Source organism: Homo sapiens, chromosome 18 (assembly GCF_000001405.40).
Source record: "Homo sapiens chromosome 18, GRCh38.p14 Primary Assembly".
In the NCBI taxonomy this organism is placed as follows: domain Eukaryota; kingdom Metazoa; phylum Chordata; class Mammalia; order Primates; family Hominidae; genus Homo; species Homo sapiens.
In genome coordinates, this window is record NC_000018.10 from 1,148,150 (window position 1) to 1,166,799 (window position 18,650).

The 18,650-nt window shown below is 40.6% G+C and overlaps 1 long non-coding RNA gene and 1 pseudogene across 2 annotated transcripts in view; one reads left to right on the forward strand and one right to left on the reverse strand.

Annotated features, from left to right (window-relative positions):
* The window catches only part of LOC105371953 (uncharacterized), a 155,413-nt gene that overhangs the window by 49,145 nt on the left and 87,618 nt on the right, over positions 1 to 18,650 (forward strand). For both annotated transcript variants that reach the window (XR_001753318.2, XR_007066436.1), the window contains exons 3-4: positions 11,030 to 11,249; positions 14,666 to 14,704. This is a non-coding gene — a long non-coding RNA (uncharacterized LOC105371953). The remainder of the gene's footprint in view (positions 1 to 11,029; positions 11,250 to 14,665; positions 14,705 to 18,650) is intronic.
* On the reverse strand, positions 11,040 to 11,623 carry SLC25A3P3 (solute carrier family 25 member 3 pseudogene 3; annotated as a pseudogene).

The window sequence follows — 18,650 nt, forward strand, 5'->3', positions numbered from 1 at the left end:
GGGATGTGACCTACTGAGACACCAGCTAGGGCAGCAAAGGGAGAGCTTATGCCACCCCTTCCCTAAACCCAGGTGCACAGCTCGAGGCTCCAAAAGATAACCTTTCCTTCTGCTTGAGGAAAGGAGAGGAAAGAATAAAGAAGACTTTGTTTTATATCTTGGATATAAAACCAGCTCAGCCACAGTAGGATAGGGTGCCAGTGAGAGTCATTAGGCCCTATTTCCAGGCTCCAGCTTCTGGATGACAGTTGCTAGATACACGCCGGGCCAGAAGAGAACATACAACCTTGAAGGGAAGGATCCAGTCCTGGCAAGACCCATCACCTGCTGACTCAAGAGCCCTTGGCCCCTGAACAACCAGCAGTGGTACCTAGGTACTACATCGAGGGTCTTGGGTAAGGTTTTGAGACGTGCTGGCTTCAGGTGACATAAGCACATTTGCATCTATGGTGGCTACAGGGAGAGACTTCTGCTTGAGAAAGGCAGAGGGAAAGGTAAAGGGGACTTTGTCTTGCACCTTAGGTGCCAGCTCTGCCACAGTGGGAGCACCAAGCAGGCTCTTGGAGTCTCTGATAACAGGCCTTGGTTCTTGAATGGCTTTTTTAGACCAGAAAGGCTTTCTGGCCAGAAGGGAGCCCATTGCCCTGAAAGCTGACTCCAAGGCCAGGCAGCATTCACTACAAACTGAATAAAGAGCCCTTGGGCCTTAAGGGAACATCAGCGGCATCTTGGCAGTACTCCCCGTGGCCTGTGGTAGTGGTGGCCTCAGGGTGAGGCTCCTCTGCCTTTGGAAAGGGGAGGGAAGAGTGGAAAGTAGTGCATGGTTTGAGTGCCAGCTCAGCCATGGTACAATACACCAGGTAGACTTCTAAGGTTCTTGACTCCAATCTCTGGCTCCCAGATGGCACCTCTGGACTGGAAGATCTCACCACTCTCAAAAGAAGGACGCAAGCCTTGCTGGCTTTGCCACCTGCTGATTGTAGAGCCCCAGGGCCTTGAGTGAACATAGGCAATAGCCAGGTGGTGATTACAGGGGAGGCTTGGGTGAGATCCGATGCTATGCTGGCTTCGGGTCTGATCCAGCACAGTCCCAGTGGTAGTGGCCCCGGGGTGCCTGTGTCACCCCTCTCCTAGCTTGGTGGCTCAGAACATAGGAAGAAATTCCGTTTGTTTGGAGGAAAGTAAGAGAAGAGAACAAGAGTTTCTGCCTGATGATCCAGAACATTATTTTTTCTTCTGTTCTTTTAATTTATTTTTAATTTTTTTAGGTACATAGTAGTCATACATGTTTATGGGGTACCTGAGATGTTTTGATATATGTACACAATGTATAATAACCGCATCATGCAGAATGGAGTCTCTATGCCCTCAAGCATTTATCTGTTGTGTTACAAGCAATCCAATTATACTCTTTTAGTTATTAAAAGTGTATAATTAAGTTATTTACCATAGTCACCCTGTTGTGCTATCAAATTGTAGGTCTTATTCATTCTTTCTATGTTTTTCTACCCATTAGCCATCCACACCTTCCCTTTCTAGATGCTGATATTCTCCTTCCTTCTAGTACTCTCCTGGCACTCTCCATCCTTCTGTTCTCTTTGTCTTTGGTTGAATTGTTTTGATTTTTAGATCCCACAAATAAGTGAGACAATACGATGTTTGTGTTTCTGTGCATGACTTATTTCACTTAATATAATGATCTCCAGTTCTATTCTTGTTGTTGTAAATGACTGGATCTCATTCTTTTTTAGGGCTGTATAGTGCTCCATTGCATATATGTATCACAGTTTCTTTATCCGTTCACCTGTTGATAGACACTTAGGTTGCTTCCAAATCCTGGCTATTATGAACAGTGCTGCAACAAACATGGGAGTGCAAATATCTCTTTCACGTACTGATTTCTTGGTGGGGGGCGTGGGGTATATACCCAGCAGTGGAATTGCTGGATCATATGGTAGCTCTATTTTTAGTTTTTTGAGGAATCTCCAAACTGTTCTCCATAGAGGTTGCACTAATTTACATTCCTACCAACAGTGTACAAGGGTTCTCTTTTCTCCACATTCTTGCTAATATTTGTTATTGCCTGTCTTTTTTATACAAGCCGTATTAACTGGGGTGAGATGATATCTCACTGTAGTTTTGATTTGCATTTATCTGATGATCAGTGATGTTGAGCACCCTTTCATGTGCCTTATTTGCCATTTGTATGTCTTCTTTTGAGAAATGTCTATTAAAATATTTTGCCCAGTTTTTGGTCGGGTTATTAGATTTTTTTCCTATAAAGTTGTTTGAATTCTTTCTGTATTCTGGTTATATTATCTTTTGTCAAATGAGTCATTTGCAAATATTTTCTCTCATACTGTGGGTTGTTTCTTTGTTTTGTTGATTGTTTCCTTTGCTGTGCAGAAGCTTTTGACCTTGATGTAATCTCATTTTTTTCATTTTTGCTTTGGTTGCCTGTGCTTGTAGGGTATTGCTCAAGAAGTTTTGCCCACACCAACGTCCTGGAGATTTTCCCCAATGTTTTCTTGTGGTAGTTTCATAGTCTGAGTTTTAGACTTAAGTCTTTAATCCATTTTGTATATGGTGAGAGATAGCAGTCTGGTTTCATTCTTTTGGATATGGATATCTAGTTTTCCCAGCACCATTTTTTGGGGAGACTGTCCATTCCCCAGTGTACATTCTTGGCTCCTTTGTCAAAAATAAGTTCACTGTAGATGTATGGATTTGTTTCTGGGGCGTGTATTCTGTTCCATTGTTCTATGTGTCTGTTTTTATGCCAGTTCCATGCTCTTTTGGTTACTATAGCTCTGTAATATAATTTGAGGTCAGGTAATGTGATTCCTCCAGTTTTGTTATTTTTGCTCAGATTAGCTTTGGCTATTCTGGTTCTTTTGTGGTTCCACATAAGGTTTAGGATTTTTTTTTCTACTTATGTGAAGAATGTCTTTAGCATGTTGACAGAGATTACAATGATCCTGTAGATTCCTTTGGGTAGTATGGACATTTTAACAATATTGATTCTTCCAATCCATAAACATGGAATATTTTTCCAGTTTTTGGTGTCCTCTTTCATTTCTTTCATCAGTGTTTTACGGTTTTCATTATAGAGATCTTTCACTTTTCTGGTTAATCCCTAAGTATTTAATTTTATATGTGGCTATTGTAAATGAGATTACTTTTTTTTTTTTTTTTTTGAGACAGAGTCTCACTCTGTCACCCAGGCTGAAGTGCAGTAGCATGATCTCGGCTCACTGCAACCTCTGCTTCCTGTTTTCAAGTGATTATCCTGCCTCAGCCTCCCAAGTAGCTGGGATTACAGGCATGTGCCACCATGCCTGGCCTGAGATTACTTTTAAAATTTTTTTTTAGGTTGGTCACTCTTGGCATATAGAAATGCTACTAATTTTGTATTCAAATGTTGTTGATTTTGTATCTTGCAACTTTACTGAATTTGTTTGAGTTCTAATAGTTTTTGATGAAGTCTTTAGGTTTCTCTAAGTGAAAGATTATATAATCTGCAAAGGAGAATAATTTGACTTCTTCCATTTCAATCTGACTGCACTTTATTTCTTTCTTTTGTCTGATTGCTCTAGCTAGGACTTCCAGTACTATGGTGAATAATGGTGGTGAAAGTGGGCATTCTTACTGTGTTCCAGAATGTAGAGAAAAGTCTTTTAGTTTCCTCCCATTCAGTATAATACTAGCTGTGGGTCTGTCATATATGGCTTTCATTATGTTCCTTACATATCCAGTTTTTAAAAGGTTTTTATTATCATGAATGGCTGTTGAATTTCATCAAATGCTTTTCATTGATCAGCATTTGACAAATATACTGTTGAATTTGGTTTGCTAGTATTTTGTTGAGGATTTTTGCATCAGTATTCATCAGAGATATTGGTCAGTAGTTTCCTTTTTTGATGTGCCTTTGTCTGGTTTTGGTATCAGGATAATACTGGCCTGATAGAAGAAGTTTGAAAACATTCCCTCCTTCTCTATTTTTCAGAATAGTTTGAGTAGGATTGGTATTAGTTCTTCTTTAAATGTTTGGTAGAATTCAGCAATGAAGCCATCAGGTCCTGGACTTTTCTTTACTAGAAGACTTTTTATTATGGGTTTGATCTCGTTTCTAGTTGTTGGTCAGTTTAGGTTTTGGATTTCTTCATGGTCCAATCTTGGTAAGTTGTACCTGTCTAGGGATTTGTCCATTTCTTCTAGATTTTTCAATTTATTGTCATACAGTTGTTCATAGTAGCTACTGATGATTCTTGGAATTTTTGCAGTATCAGTTGTAATATCTCTTTTTCGTTTCTGATTTTATTTAATTGTATCTTCCTTTTTTTCTTAGTCTGGCTAAAGATTTGTCAATTTTGCTTAACTTTTCAAAAAAGCAACTTTTTTGTTTCATTGATCTTTTGTATTTTTTAATTTCAATTTCATTTACTTCTGCTCTGATATTTCTTATTTCTTTTTTCTACTAATTTTGGGTTTCGTTTGCTCTTGCTTTTCTAGTTCATTAAGATTCGTCATTAGATTGTTTATTTGAAGTTTTTCTGCTTTTTAAATGTAGGCACTTACAGCTATTAGTACTGCTTCTGCTGTACCCCATAGGTTTTTGTGGGTTGTGTTTCCATTATCATTTGTTTCAAGACATTTTTCAATTTTCTTCTTAATTTCTTCACTGACCCCCTGGTCATTCAGGAACGTATTATCTAATTTCTATATATTTATTTAGTTTCCAAAATTCCTCATGGTGTTAATTTCCAGTTTTATTCCATTGTTGTCAGAGAAGATACTTCATATTATCTGAATGTTTTTAAATGTTTTAAGACTTGTATTGTGACCTAACATATGGCCTATCCTTGAGAATGATACATGTGCTCAGGAATAGAATGTGTATTCTGCAGCCGTTGGATGAAATGTTCTGTAAATATCTATTAGATCCATTTGATCTGTAGTACAGATTAAGTCTGATGTTGCTTTGTTGATTTTCTGTCTGGAAGATCTGTCCAGTGCTGAAAGTGGGGTGTTGAACTATCCATCTGTTATTGTACTGGGTGATCCCTCTCTTTAGTTCTAATAATATTTGCTTTATATATCTGGGTGCTCCAGTGTTGGGTGCATATTTTTTATAATTGTTATATTCATTCGTGGAATTGACCCCTCTATTATTATATAGTGACTTTCTTTGTCTCTTCTTATAGGTTTTGTCTTGAAATCCATTTTGTCTGAAATAAGTATAGCTACTCTTGCTCTTTTTTGGTTTCCACTGGCATGGAATATCTTTTTCCATCCCTTTATGTTCAGTCTAAGTGTGTCTTTATAAGTGAAGTGTGTTTTTTATGTAGGCAACAGATATCTGAGTCTTGTTTTTTTTTTTTTATCCATTCAGCCACTCTGTGTCTTTTGATTGGTGAGTTTAGTCCATTTACATTCAATGTTATTTTTGATAAGCAAGGACTTACTCCTATTATTTCATTATTTGTTTTCTGGTTGTTTTGTGGTCTTCCCTTCCTTTGTTCTTTCTTTCCTGTCTTCCTTTAGTGAAGGTGATTTTTTTCTGGGGATACAGTAATATAATTTAGTTCGCTTTTTATTTTTGTGTATCTGTTGTATGATCTTTGGTTTGAAGTTACCATGAGGCTTGCAAATACTATCTTATAACCCATTATTTTAACCTGAATAACTACTTAACATTGTTTGTATAAATGAACAAACAAACATGTAAAAAGAAAACTAATAAAAACTGTACCTTAACTTCATACCCTCACTTTTTAACTTTTTGTCTCTATTTTTATCTTATTTTGCTATGCCTGTAAAAGTCCATGTCGTGATTATTTTTGATTGGTTCATCATTTAGTCTTTTTCCTTTGGATAAGAGTAGTTAACATACCACAGTTCTGTGTTATAATATTCTGTGTTTTCTGTGTACTTACTATTACCAGTGAGTTTTGTACCTTCACTGTACTTACTGCTCATCAATGTCCTTTTCTGTCTGATTGAAGTATTTCCTTTAGCATTTCTTGTAGGACAGGTCTAGTGTTGATGAAATCCCTCAGCTTTTGTTTGTCTGGAAAAGCCTTTATCCTTCATGTTTGAAGGATATTTTCACTGGGTATACTCTTCTAGAGTTAAAAATCAAATTTCAGCACTTTGAATATGTCATGCCACTCTGTTCTGGCCTGTAAGTTTTCCACTGAAAAACCTGCTGCCAGAAGTATTGGAGCTCCATTGTATATCATTTGTTTATTTTCTCTTGCTGCTTTTAGGATCTCCTTTTTTATCCTTGATCTTTGGAAGTTTATTACATGTTTTAAGGTAGTCTTCTTGGGTTAAATCTGCTTAGTGTCCTATAACCTTCTTGTACTTGGGTATTGATATCTTTCTGTAGGTTTGGGAAATTCTCTGTTATCCCTTTGAATAAATTTTCTACCCCTATCTCTTTCTCAACCTCCTCACTAAGGCCAATAACTCTTAGATCTGCCCTTTTGAGGCTGTTTTCTAGATCCTGTAGTGTGCTTCATTTTTTAAATTCTTTTTTCTTTTGTTTCTTCTGACTGTATTTTCAAATAGCCTGTTTTCAAGCTCACTAATTCTTTCTTCTGCTTGATCCATTCTGATATTAACAGACTGTGATGTATTCTTCAGTATGCCAATTTCATTATTCAATTTCAGCAGTTCTGCTTAATTTTTAATAATTATTTAAATCTCTTTGTTACATTAATTTGATAGAGTTCTGAATTCCTTCTCTGTGTTATCTTGAATTTCTTTGAGTTTCCTCAAAACAACTATTTTGAATTCTCTATCTGAAAGGTCACATAACTCTGATTCTCCAGCACTGGACCCTAGTGCCTTATTTAGTTTGTTTGGTAAGGTCATGTTTTCTTGGATGGTATTGGTGTTAGCAGATGTTTTTTGGTGTCTGGATATTGAAGAGTTAGGTATTTATTGTCATCTTCACTATCTGGGCTTGGTTGTACCTGTCCTTCTTGGGAAGGCTTTCCAGATGTTTGAAAGAACTTGGGTATTGTGATCTAAGTTGTATCTGCTTTAGGGGGCACCCAAAGCCCAGGATGCTGTGACTCTTGCAGACTCATAGAGGTCCCACTTGATGATCTTGGATAAGATCCAGGAGAATTCTCTGGATTAACAGGCAGAGACTCTTGTTCTCTTTCCTTATTTTCTCCCAAACAGAGTATATCTGTGTGTTCTGAGCCACCTAAAGCTGGGGGTGGAGTGACACAAACCCTCTGTGACCACCACCACTGTGATTGCACTAGGTGAGGCCTGAAGCCAGTGCAGCTCTGGGTCTTACTCAAGTCCTGCTGTAACCACTCCCTGGCTATTGCCTATGTTCATTCAAGGTTCTGAGGCTCTGTTATCAGCAGATGGCTAAGCCAGCCAGGCCTGTATCCTTCCATGCAGGTGGCAAGTTCCTCCTGGTCCCGGTTGGGTTTAGAGGTGCTATCTGGGAGCCAGGAACTAGAATAAAAAACCTTAAAAGTCTTCCTGGTGTTCTATTCTGCTGCAGCTGAGCTGGCATTCATACCACAAGACACAATTCTTCCTACTTTTCTCTCCTTTCCAAAGACAGAGGAGCCTCACCCCAAAGCCACCACCACCACAGGCCACGGAGAGTACTGCCAGGCTACCACCAATGTTCCCTGAAGGCCCAAGGACTCTTCAGTCAGCTTGTGATGAATGCTGCCTGGCCTGGGACTCACCCTTCAGAGCAGTGGGCTCCTCTCTGGCCCAGGGCAGGTCCAGAAATGCCATCCAAGAGTCAAGTCCTGGAATTGGGGGCCCCTAGTGCCTGCTTGGTTCTCTACACACCTGTGGCTGAGCTGGTACCTAAGGTCCACAGCTTGGGAAAGACAAAGTCCTCTTTACTTTTCTTTCTGCTTTCATCAAGCAGAAGGAGTTTCTCCCTGTAGCCACCACAGCTGGTAATATGCTGAGTCTTACCTGAAGCCAGCAATTCTTTGGGGCTGACCCAAGACCCTCAACACAGTATCTGGGTATCACTGCTGGTTATTCACTGTCTAAGCATCTTCAGTTAGCAGGTGATGGATGTTGCCAGGACTGGATCCTTCCCTTCAAGGCGGCAGGTTCCTTTCTGTCCCAGGGTGTGTCTAGAAATGTCTGGGAGCTAGGGCCGGAAATGGGGGCCTCACAACTCTGACTGGTACCTTATCCTGCTGAGGCTGAGCTGATATCCAAGATGCAAGACAATGTCCTTACCAGTCTTCTCTCTCCTCTAATCAGTCAGATGGAAAGCATCTCTTTTGGAGCTGTGAGCTGTGAGCTGTGCAGCCTGGGGCTATGAAAGGGGTGATGCCAGCACTCCCGTAGCCACCCTAGTTGGTGTTTCAGTAGGTCACATGTCCCCCCAGTCCACTGTCTCTGGGCACAGTTTAGCACTAGGATTCACCTATGAGTTAGAGTCCTTATGGCTGAGACTGCCTTTCAAGTTAACTAAGAAACCTCAAGCAATTTAGTCCTGGGTGGTGAGGTTTGTGAGAACTCAAGTTCTGAATGCTGGGATAGGCGATTCTCCTCTGGCTAAGGCTGTTTTAAACATTCTCTCTGTGGGCAGGCATCAGCTGAGTTTGGTCCTGTTTTCCTTTCTGTAGGAACAGAATAGTGAAGTGGTATCATTCATCTGGGGTAATACCCAAGGTTCATTGTCCCACGCCAAAGAAATCAAGGATGCAGACACACAAGGAGTGAGGTTAAGAGCCAAGGTTTAATAGGTGAAAGAAAGAGAAAAGCTCTTTTCTGCAGAGAGAGGGGTCCCGAGCAGGTCTTCTGGTCTGCGGTGAAGTGGAGGAGGTTTTGTAGATGAGCCTGAGGAGGCAGTGTCTGATTTACACAGGACACAAAAGATTGGTTGGATTAGGTGTGCCATTTGCATAGCATACAAAGAGGCTGGCCACCCCACCCAAATATTTTATTAGGCAGACTGGTTCTATACCTTGCTGGCACCATGTTGCCTGCTTTTTTACATGTGGTGACAAAGAAAAGGGAAGATAGAGCCTCCATGTTGAACATGCCTGGCCCTCAGGTAGCCCTTTGCTATTGGCACAGCTGCAGACAGTCACCCATGCAAGCTTCCAGCTTTTTTATATATGTCCACAGCTCAATTTTTCAGGATGCTCTTTGTTAGAAAAGAAATGATTTGGGGGCTGCTTTTTGTTAAAAGGAAAAATTCTGCCGAGGACTCTGTTGCCCTTACTATCTGCCTCTAAATAATTTCTTTCTATCTCCTGTATCAACATCACTGAGTTCAGTGCCTCACAATTGCTGTGCACTCCCTCCCTCTGCACCGTCCCCACCCCCAGCAGTGGCAGCTTGGTACCGAGAGCATCTCTGGGTGCATCGGCAAGTCAGGACTGCTTTCTCTATCTTTTCAGTGCCTTTTTCAGCAACATGGAGTTAAAACTGGGTATTATGAGAGCTCACCTGATTTTTGGTTCTTATGCAGGTGTTTTTTTCTGTGTAGATTGCTGTTAAATTGGTGTCTGTGCAGGGGGTATGATCAGTGGAGCCTTCTATTCTACCATCTTGCTCTGCCTCCAATCCTTTTATTATTATTATTATTATTATTATTATTATTATACTTTAAGTTCTAGGGTACATGTGCACAACGTGCAGGTTTGATACATAGGTATACATGTGCCATGTTGGTATGCTGCACCCATCAACTCATCATTTACATTAGGTATATCTCCTAATGCTATCCCTCCCCCAGCCCCCCACCCCTCAACAGGCCCCGGTGTGTGATTTTCTCCACCCCATGTCCAAGTGATCTCATTGTTCAATTCCCACCTATGAGTGAGAACATGCAGTATTTGGTTTTCTGTCCTTGTGATAGTTTGCTGAGAATGATGGTTTCCAGCTTCATCCATGTCCCTGCAAAGGACATGAACTCATCCTTTTTTTTTTATGACTGCCTAGTATTCCATGGTGTATATGTGCCACATTTTCTTTATCCAGTCTATCATTGATGGACATTTGGGTTGGTTCCAAGTCTTTGCTATTGTGAATAGTGTCACAATAAACTTACATGTGCGTGTGTCATTATAGCAGCATGATTTATAATCATTTGGGTATACACTCAGTAATGGGATTGCTGGGTAAAATGGTAATTCTAGTTCTAGATCCTTGAGGAATCACCACATTGTCTTCCACAGTGGTTGAACCAATTTACACTCCCATCAACAGTGTAAAAGTGTTCCTATTTCTCCACATCCTCTCCAGCATCTGTTGTTTCCTGACTTTAATGATTGCCATTCTAACTTGCGTGAGATGGTATCTCATTGTGGTTTTGATTTGCATTTCTCTGATGATCAGTGATGATGAGCATATTTTCATGTGTCTGTTGGCTGCATACATGTCTTCTTTTGAGAAGTGTCTGCTCATATCCTTTGCCCACTTTTTGATGGGGTTGTTTATTTTTTTCTTGTAAATTTGTTTGAGTTTTTTGTAGATTCTGGATATTAGCCTTTTGTCAGATGGGTAGATTGCAAAAATTTTCTTCCATTCTGTAGGTTGCCTGTTCACTCTGATGGTAGTTTCTTTTGCTGTGCAGAAGCTCTTTAATTTAATTAGATCCCATTTGTCTATTTTGGCTTTTGTTGCCATTGCTTTTGGTGTTTTGGTCATGAAGTTTTTGCCCATGCCTATGTGCTGAATGGTAATGCCTAGATTTTCTTCTAGAGTTTTTATGGCTTTAGGTCTAACATTTAAGTCTTTAATCCATCTTGAATTAATTTTTGTATAAGGTGTAAGGAAGGGATCCAGTTTCAGCTTCATACTAGCTTCAAATAATTATCAAATCACAGATAAATCATGGAGAGTTAGTTTATTTCAACAAATAAGCTCTTGCCTTAAGCAAAGGTAATACCAGTAACTATATCAGGAACAGGACGTGTCCTGTTTGTCAAATTTATAAATGTTACTTTTGTACGTTTCTCAACACTGGCCAGCAAGCAATTTAGTTCACATTTGCTTTGATTTATTTCCTCAGGGAAAACATGCTGCTTCTTCAAAGACTCCAATTTCAGATGGCAAAATGCATGGAAGCTGAGATGGACCTTCTGGAGTTTTCGATAAACCACTGTAGCTCAGTCAGAGGTCCAATTATGATGATACCCACACAGCCCGGTCCTCCCACAGCCTACATCCAATCCTCTGAGGAAGCTGAGTGGCACTGCCTTTATTCACCACAGATGCTACAGAATCAGCAGGTGAGAGACAATAGCACCCCCAGCTACGTAACCTGCTTCAAATACTACAACCATCTGTTCTATCTTTGGACATTTTATTTCTGGGCTTGAAAAGCAACAAATGCATTCCATACTTCAATGGTATATCTAAAGCAATTGACTTTTCTTGTGGTGTATAGTTACCTGTTTCATTCATGAGGGACCATCTCTCTTTGTTTATACCTTTTGGAAGCAGGATTCCTCAGAACATTAGCATGCCCTGGCTTGGTTTGAAATTCTACATCAGCAGCTTTCATTGGAGCCAGGGCAAAGTCAGTAAAATAAAATTCTTCTACACTGAGAGAGGGAGTAAAGTAAAGTTATGTGCATCAGAGATAGACATTCTCTCTGAACATGCTGCCCTAAAAGACTTCAAGGGCTTATTTTATTTTATTTTATTTTTGAGACGGAGTCTTGCTCTGTTGCCCAGGCTAGAGTGCAGTGGCATGATCTCGGCTCACTGCAACCTCTGCTTCCTGGGTTCAAGTGATTCTCCTGCCTCAGCCTGCTGAGTAGCTGAGATTACAGGCACCAGCCACCACACCTGGCTAATTTTTGTATTTTTAGTAGAGATGGGGTTTCACCATGTTGGCCAGGGTGGTCTAGAACTCCTGACCTCAAGTGATCCACCTGCCTCGGCCTCCCAAACTGTTGTGATTACAAGCGTGAGCCACCACGCCTGATTTCAAGGGCTTTTAAAAGCTAAACTTACCATGTCTCTGCATAGCATGGCCAGTAAAAGTGGGAGCTTATCCATTAGCCACATCAGGAACACTATCTTCTTAACTGTAGTGAAAATTTATTAAAAATGACCTTGTACATTGAACAACTCACCCGCACATCACATTTTGCTAAATCCAGGTATGCAACAGCGGGGTTGTCATGGCATAATTTAAAAGCTACTACAGTAATTAAAACTTAAGGAAGCCATAATGACAACTATATTCTTCTGGAATGTCATGGACTAGATTGAGGGAACAGGGGAGTGGCCCAAGAGCCCTGCAACTGAGGTTGGGTGGGCCTCAGGACTCATCTCCACCAGCTGCCGGCATGTTGAGGCACCACAGATGGAGCATCTTCTCCCTAAGATAGCCAACATCCCGTTGCCCCTATTTTCTCTATTAGTCAGTTCTTACACTACTATGATGAACTACCTGAGACTGGGTAATTTATGAACAAAGGAGTTTTAATTGACTCACAGTTCTGCAGGCTTAAAAGGAAGAATGACTGAGAGTCCTCAGGAAACTTAGAATCATGGCGGAAGGTGAAGGGGAAGCAAGAAGCAAGCACCTTCTTCACATGTTGGCAGGAGAGAGAGAGTGAGAGAGAGAAGAAAGAGGTGCCACACGCTTTTAAATGATCAGATCTCATGAGATCTCACTCAGTATCATAAGAACAGTGAGGGAAGAATCTGTCCCCATGAGCCAATCATCTTTTATCAGGCCCCTCCCCTGACACAGGAGGATTACAATTTGACATGAGATTTGGGTGGGGACACAGAGCCAAACCATATCAGCCCCTCTACGGACTGTGGCCCACAGCTAATTTTATTTTACTTGTGGTAGCACTATCACCTTGGGAAAGTAATTTGGGTTGGTTTGTGGTGAGAAAAGGAAATGGGGCTTATATAACTAAAATTTATTCCTCTCTGATCTAATGACTTCCTCCTCTCCAACCTAACCCTGAGCTCCAGCTAGAAGCCTTTTTTCTGCAGCCCTGGAGTAACCAAGTCCTATTTTCAACCTCATAGACTATCCCATTGTATAGTCCTCCCCACATTCGTCCTCCTCAGTCTACCTCATTGATGTCCAGATGTGCAGGTCCTCTCAGCTCCATCCTATCTCCATCACTCATTTGTCTCTCCTTGCATTCTACTTTTCTGTCTCCTGTAACCACCTCCTGTGTATGTGCCCAATCCTTGCAACCCAACTGCAAGCTGCTGGAGAGCAGAAGCCATTTCCTGTGTCTGTTCTCCAGAAGTATTTGGTAAATTAATACATGAAGGTAAGATGCCAGGAAACTATCTACTTTTTTTTAAACCTTGCTTAAGATAGTACTTAAAGAAGAGTTCACCTTTTTAGAGTAACTGGATATTTTGACTGCTCACTTTGCTACTTGAGTCTGGACCAGTCATAATCCTGACTGGGAAGAATTATGAGACTTGTCCGGTATGCAATATGTATGTGAATCAATAATAAGTCACATTGGTGATGTTCTTATCCTCACTTTATATACCAGTTTGAGTAACTTGGTTCTTATTCCCACTGCTGTGTTTAAGTTCCTCTTCTGTGTCGATACCTGTTCTACTCAACCCAGCTCATTCCTAGGACTAATTCCTATAGTATGTCCCTGCTAAATATATCCAGACCTTTGTGACACTGTCTGCCCAGCTGTATCTCTTCTAATTGACTTGTTTTTCTGTTACACCAGATTGTTTATCAGTAATATTCTGATGCATAGCAAATCCTCCCACAGTCAGAGGCATGAAACAACAATGTGTTATCACTCGTGATTCTGTGGGTTGGCTAGGATCAGCTGGCTGGTTCTTCTGCTGACCTCACCTGGTTCACCTATGCATCTCCAATTATCTGTCTGTTTGACTGGGACTAAAGGGTCTAAACTAATCTCCTTTACATGTCTTACTTTTAGACAGAGTTAATTGCTTTCAGATCAAAACTGTTGTAACACCAAAGTGTCATAGCTTAGGTTGGCATTTTCTGGTACCCTCCATTTGTTCAGGTCTTCATCAAAGAAGCTTGGTGGAAGTTCCACCTTAAGATTTGTTACATATTTGTCCAGCCCATCTTACCAGGCCTGACAAGACTACTAGAATTCAGAAAAGAAGTATTTATATAATAAGCATGTGTCCAGGGCAGCTCATAAGTGGTGTCTTTCAGTAAAGTTAGATGGTAGGCAAGGTGCAGCAGAATGTCACTGAGGAAACTGCAAAATATAGCCTAATCAAGAGAACTGGTCAGAATTACAAGAAGTGCAAGGGAACTCTGATTTGCAAATTTATGTGTGTTTATACAAGTAAAATATTTTGCATCAGGAAAGCCTCAAATGAATTAGATCTGGAGCCCTTTCTTTGCTCTATGATCTAATTATGAATATATTAAACCACTACTTGCATCCTCTGTACCTAAAACTAGTACCTTTTATACAGCCTATAATTCTCCTTAGATGTTGGCTATTTTAAGGAGAAATTTAGTCATCCTAATTGCATAGTTTCCAAAGTTAATGATTTCCTAAAACAAGGGAATCATTAGTTCATATTGCTTTCCTCTAACATCTTTCCCAAGTTTAAATGAATGTATATACTAATGGGTATTAAAAGTAAATTTTCAGAAGCATTTTCAGGACTGGCATCTGCCTCAGACATTTATGTTCCCTTTCAGGAAGGAAGACTGTGAAAAGGAAAAATGCACTCTTTTAAGGTAAGTATCAGTGAGTAGATACATTAAGCGCCTGTGCTAGTGAAGCAATCAACATAATCATATTTACATTAATTAGAACATAAATGGAACAAACCAAATTTCTTTTTTATGCTATTTTTATGTTTAACTTGGCATGGAAACATAGAATCTGGGGAGATTCTTTCTCAACTTGAATACATAATCGACACAAAAATAATAGGATAAAAACTTTAGAAGGATGTTAGAGTAATATGAAAACATGAATTTATAAAATTGAGCCATCTTAAGAGGGAGAAGTTTGCTTTGGTAAGAGAATAAAGATCAAGTAAACTTTCTCTACCATGACTAAGAGAATGAAATAAACCAGAGGATTTTGATACAATTATTTTTTGGATTTTATTTTTACTTTTTGGCAGAGGTGGAAGGTAGGGAGAGAGTTGTCTAATAGAAATGTCCAAGGCCTGTTTCCTTAAGATTTTTAAAACACATCTCTAATATGAGTGAGTGCATTACTACATAATTATCTAGGCCTTCATGGAAACTCTATGGGTAATTCCAGGCCCCAAATGGACATTAGACTAAATGATTTAGATCACCTGTACTCACTCTAATGCGTTCAAGGTGAGTTAGAATAAAAAATCAGGGAATTTTAAAGAACTATGTTCTAACAAAGTTGAAAATTAACTTTTGTGCAGCTGTACTGTATTATCTCAAAATCTAAAGATTGCAGAGCAAATTTCAGGATTTCAGAGCGAACTGTGACTCAAGGATAAAAATCTGTTCTCTTTGTTTCCTTGGCATTGCATAGTCTTTTAAATGTCCCTGGTTAGAGGAGTTAGGTTAGTTGATAATAGAAATGTGAAATAAAATCAGGGGAAGCACAAAACAAGAGAAGGTAGCTATGAAACTTGCAGTAACAACTTTGTACTAGAAAAATATCCAAAAGGCATAGTTTATGTGAATACAGAACACTTTTGAAGTCAGTAACTAAATTACAAAACAAGTTCAGCTTCTAGTAGTTAAAAATAAGGATTTTTAGGGAAACTCTTAAAACAATGCCCCACACTTTGTCTTTATATCACACTGACCATAACTCAATCTCACAGCCACACTAAGGGATCAGAGGATAGGAGATGCAGACTGTGCATGTGTGGTAATTTGCCCAGCAAAGAAGCCAAAGTTCTACAACAGAGCAGGGGGAATATGGGTATTAGGAGGCAGCTAATGGTCTTTCCTATATTTCTATTCCACAACTATTCTTGAAATATATTCCTTTTTGACTTCTAAAATGTAGCTGTAGGGGAGAAAGACTAACATCTTTTCTTCACCATCACTAGGTTCATCACTGAGACCCCCATAACAAAAGATAGGTTAGCAAGAAAAAAGCATATAAATATATTTAATGTAAGTTTTACATGACACAGTGTATTAGTCCGTTTTCATGCTGCTAATAAAGACATACCCAAGCCTGGGTAATTTATAAAGGAAGAGGTTTAATGGACTCACAGTTCCACGTGGCTGGGAGGCCTTACAATCATGGCAGAAGGTGAAAGGTATGTCTTACATGGCTGCAGCAAGAGATAATGAGAACCAAGTGAAAGAGGTTTCCCCTTATAAAACCATCAGATCTCATGAGACTTATTCACTACCATGAGAACAGGATGGGGGAAACCACACCCATGATTCAGTTATCTCCCACCAGATCCCTCCTACAACATGTGGGAATTACAGGAGCTACAATTCAAGATGAGATTTGGGTGGGGACACAGCCAAACCATATCATTTTGCCCCAGCCCCTCACAAATCTTTTGTCTTCACATTTCAAAATCAATCATGCTTTCCCAGCAGTCCCCCAAATTCTTAAATCATTTCAGCATTAACTCAAAAGTCCACAGTCAAACGTTTCATTCAATACAAGGCAAGTCTCTTCCACCTATGAGCCTGTAAAATCAAAGGCAAGTTAGTTATTTCCTAGATACTATGGGGGTACAGGAATTAGGTAAATACACTCATTCCAAATGGGAGAAATGGGCCAAAACAAAGGGCTAAAGGCCCCGTGCAAGTCTGAAATCCAGTGGGCCACTCAAATCTTAAACCTCCAAAAAGATCTCCTTTGACTCCGTGTCTCACATCCAGGTCATGCCGACGCGAGAGATGAGCTCCCACGGCCTCGGGCAGCTCTGCCCCTGTGGCTTTGTAGAGTATAGTCCCTCTCCTGGCTGCTTTCATGGGCTTTCATTGAGTGTCTGTGGCTTTTCCAGGTGCATGGTGCAAGCTGTCAGTGGATCTACCATTCTGGGGTCTGGAGGATGGTGGCCCTCTTCTCACAGCTCCACTAAGCAGTGTCCCAGTGGTGAGTCTCTGTGGGAGCTTCAACACCACATTTCCCTTCTGCACTGCTGTAGCAGAGGTTCTCTGGGAGGCCTCTGCTCCTGCAGCAGACTTCTGTCTGTACATCCAGGAATTTCCATACATCCTCTGAAGTCTAGGCAGAGGTTCCCAAACCTCAATTCATGACTTCTGTGCACTCACAGGCTCAACACCATGTGGAAGCTGCCAAGGCTTGGGGCTTGTGCCCTTGGAAGCAATGGCCTGAGCTGTACCTTGGCCCCTTTTAGCCATGGCTAGAGTGGCTGGGATGCAGGGCACCAAGTCCTTAGGGTGCATATGGCAGGGGGGCCCTGGTCCTGGCCCATGAAACCACTTTGTTCTCCTGGGCTTCTGGGCCTGTGATGGGAGGGGCTGCAGTGAATGTCTCTGACATGTCCTGGAGACATTTTCCCCATTGTCTTGGAGATTAACATTTGGCTCCTTGTTACTTATGCAAATTTCTGCAGCAGGCTTGAATTTCTTCTTAGAAAATGGGTTTTTCTTTTCTATTGCATCGTCCAGCTGCAAATTTTCTGAACTTTTATGTTTCATTTCCTTTTAAAACTGAATGCTTTTAACAGCACCCAAGTCACCTCTTGAATGCTTTGCTGCTTAGAAATTTCTTCCCTGATACTCTAAATCATCTCTTTCAGGTTCAAAGTTCACAAATCTCTAGGGCAGCAAAATGCCGCCAGTCTTTTTGCTAAAACGTAGCAAGAATCACCTTTGCTCCAGTTCCCAACAAGTTCCTCATCTCCATCTGAGACCACCCAAATCTCATCTTCAATTATAATCCTCATAATTCCCATGTGTAGATGGCAAGACCTGATGGGAGGTGATTGGATCATGGGGGTGGTTTCCTCCATGCTGGTCTCATGATAGTGAGTTCTCACAGGAACTGATGGTTTTATAAGTGTTTGACAGTTCCCCCTGCACATGCATACTTTCTCTTACCTGCTGCCATGTAAGACGTGCCTCTTCACCTTTCACCATGATTGTAAGTTTTCTGAGGCCTCTCCAGCCATGCAGAACTGTGAGTCAATTAACCTCTTTTTTCTTTTCCCTTTTTTTTTTTTTTTCCGAGACAGAGTCTTGGTCTGTTGCCCAGGCTGGAGTGCAGGGGCATGATCTTGGCTTACTGCAGCTTCCACCTCCACCTCCTGGGTTCAAGCAATTATTGTGCCTCAGCCTCCTGAGTAGCTGGGACCACAGGCATGCACCACCGTGACTGGCTAATTTTTGTATTTTTAGTAGAGACGGGGTTTCACTGTGTTGGCCAGGCTGGTCTTGAACTCCTGACCTCAAGTGATCTACCCACCTTGGCCTCCCAAAGTGCTGGGATTACAGGCATGAGCCACCACGCCTGGTCATAAACCTCTTTTCTTTATAAATTACCCAGTCTCAGGTAGTATCTGCAGTTTGAAAATGGACTAATACAAGGAATATAAGTAGATTTTACTCAGTGTAACTTGATTGGGAGTTGAGATAATAGTGGCTCTTAATTACAACCAGAAAGTAGAATTTGGGGTTTGTTTCTGTGTTCGTTTGAATTATGTTTCTTTACCTTGAAGATCAAAGAACCGTTATTAGAGATTTC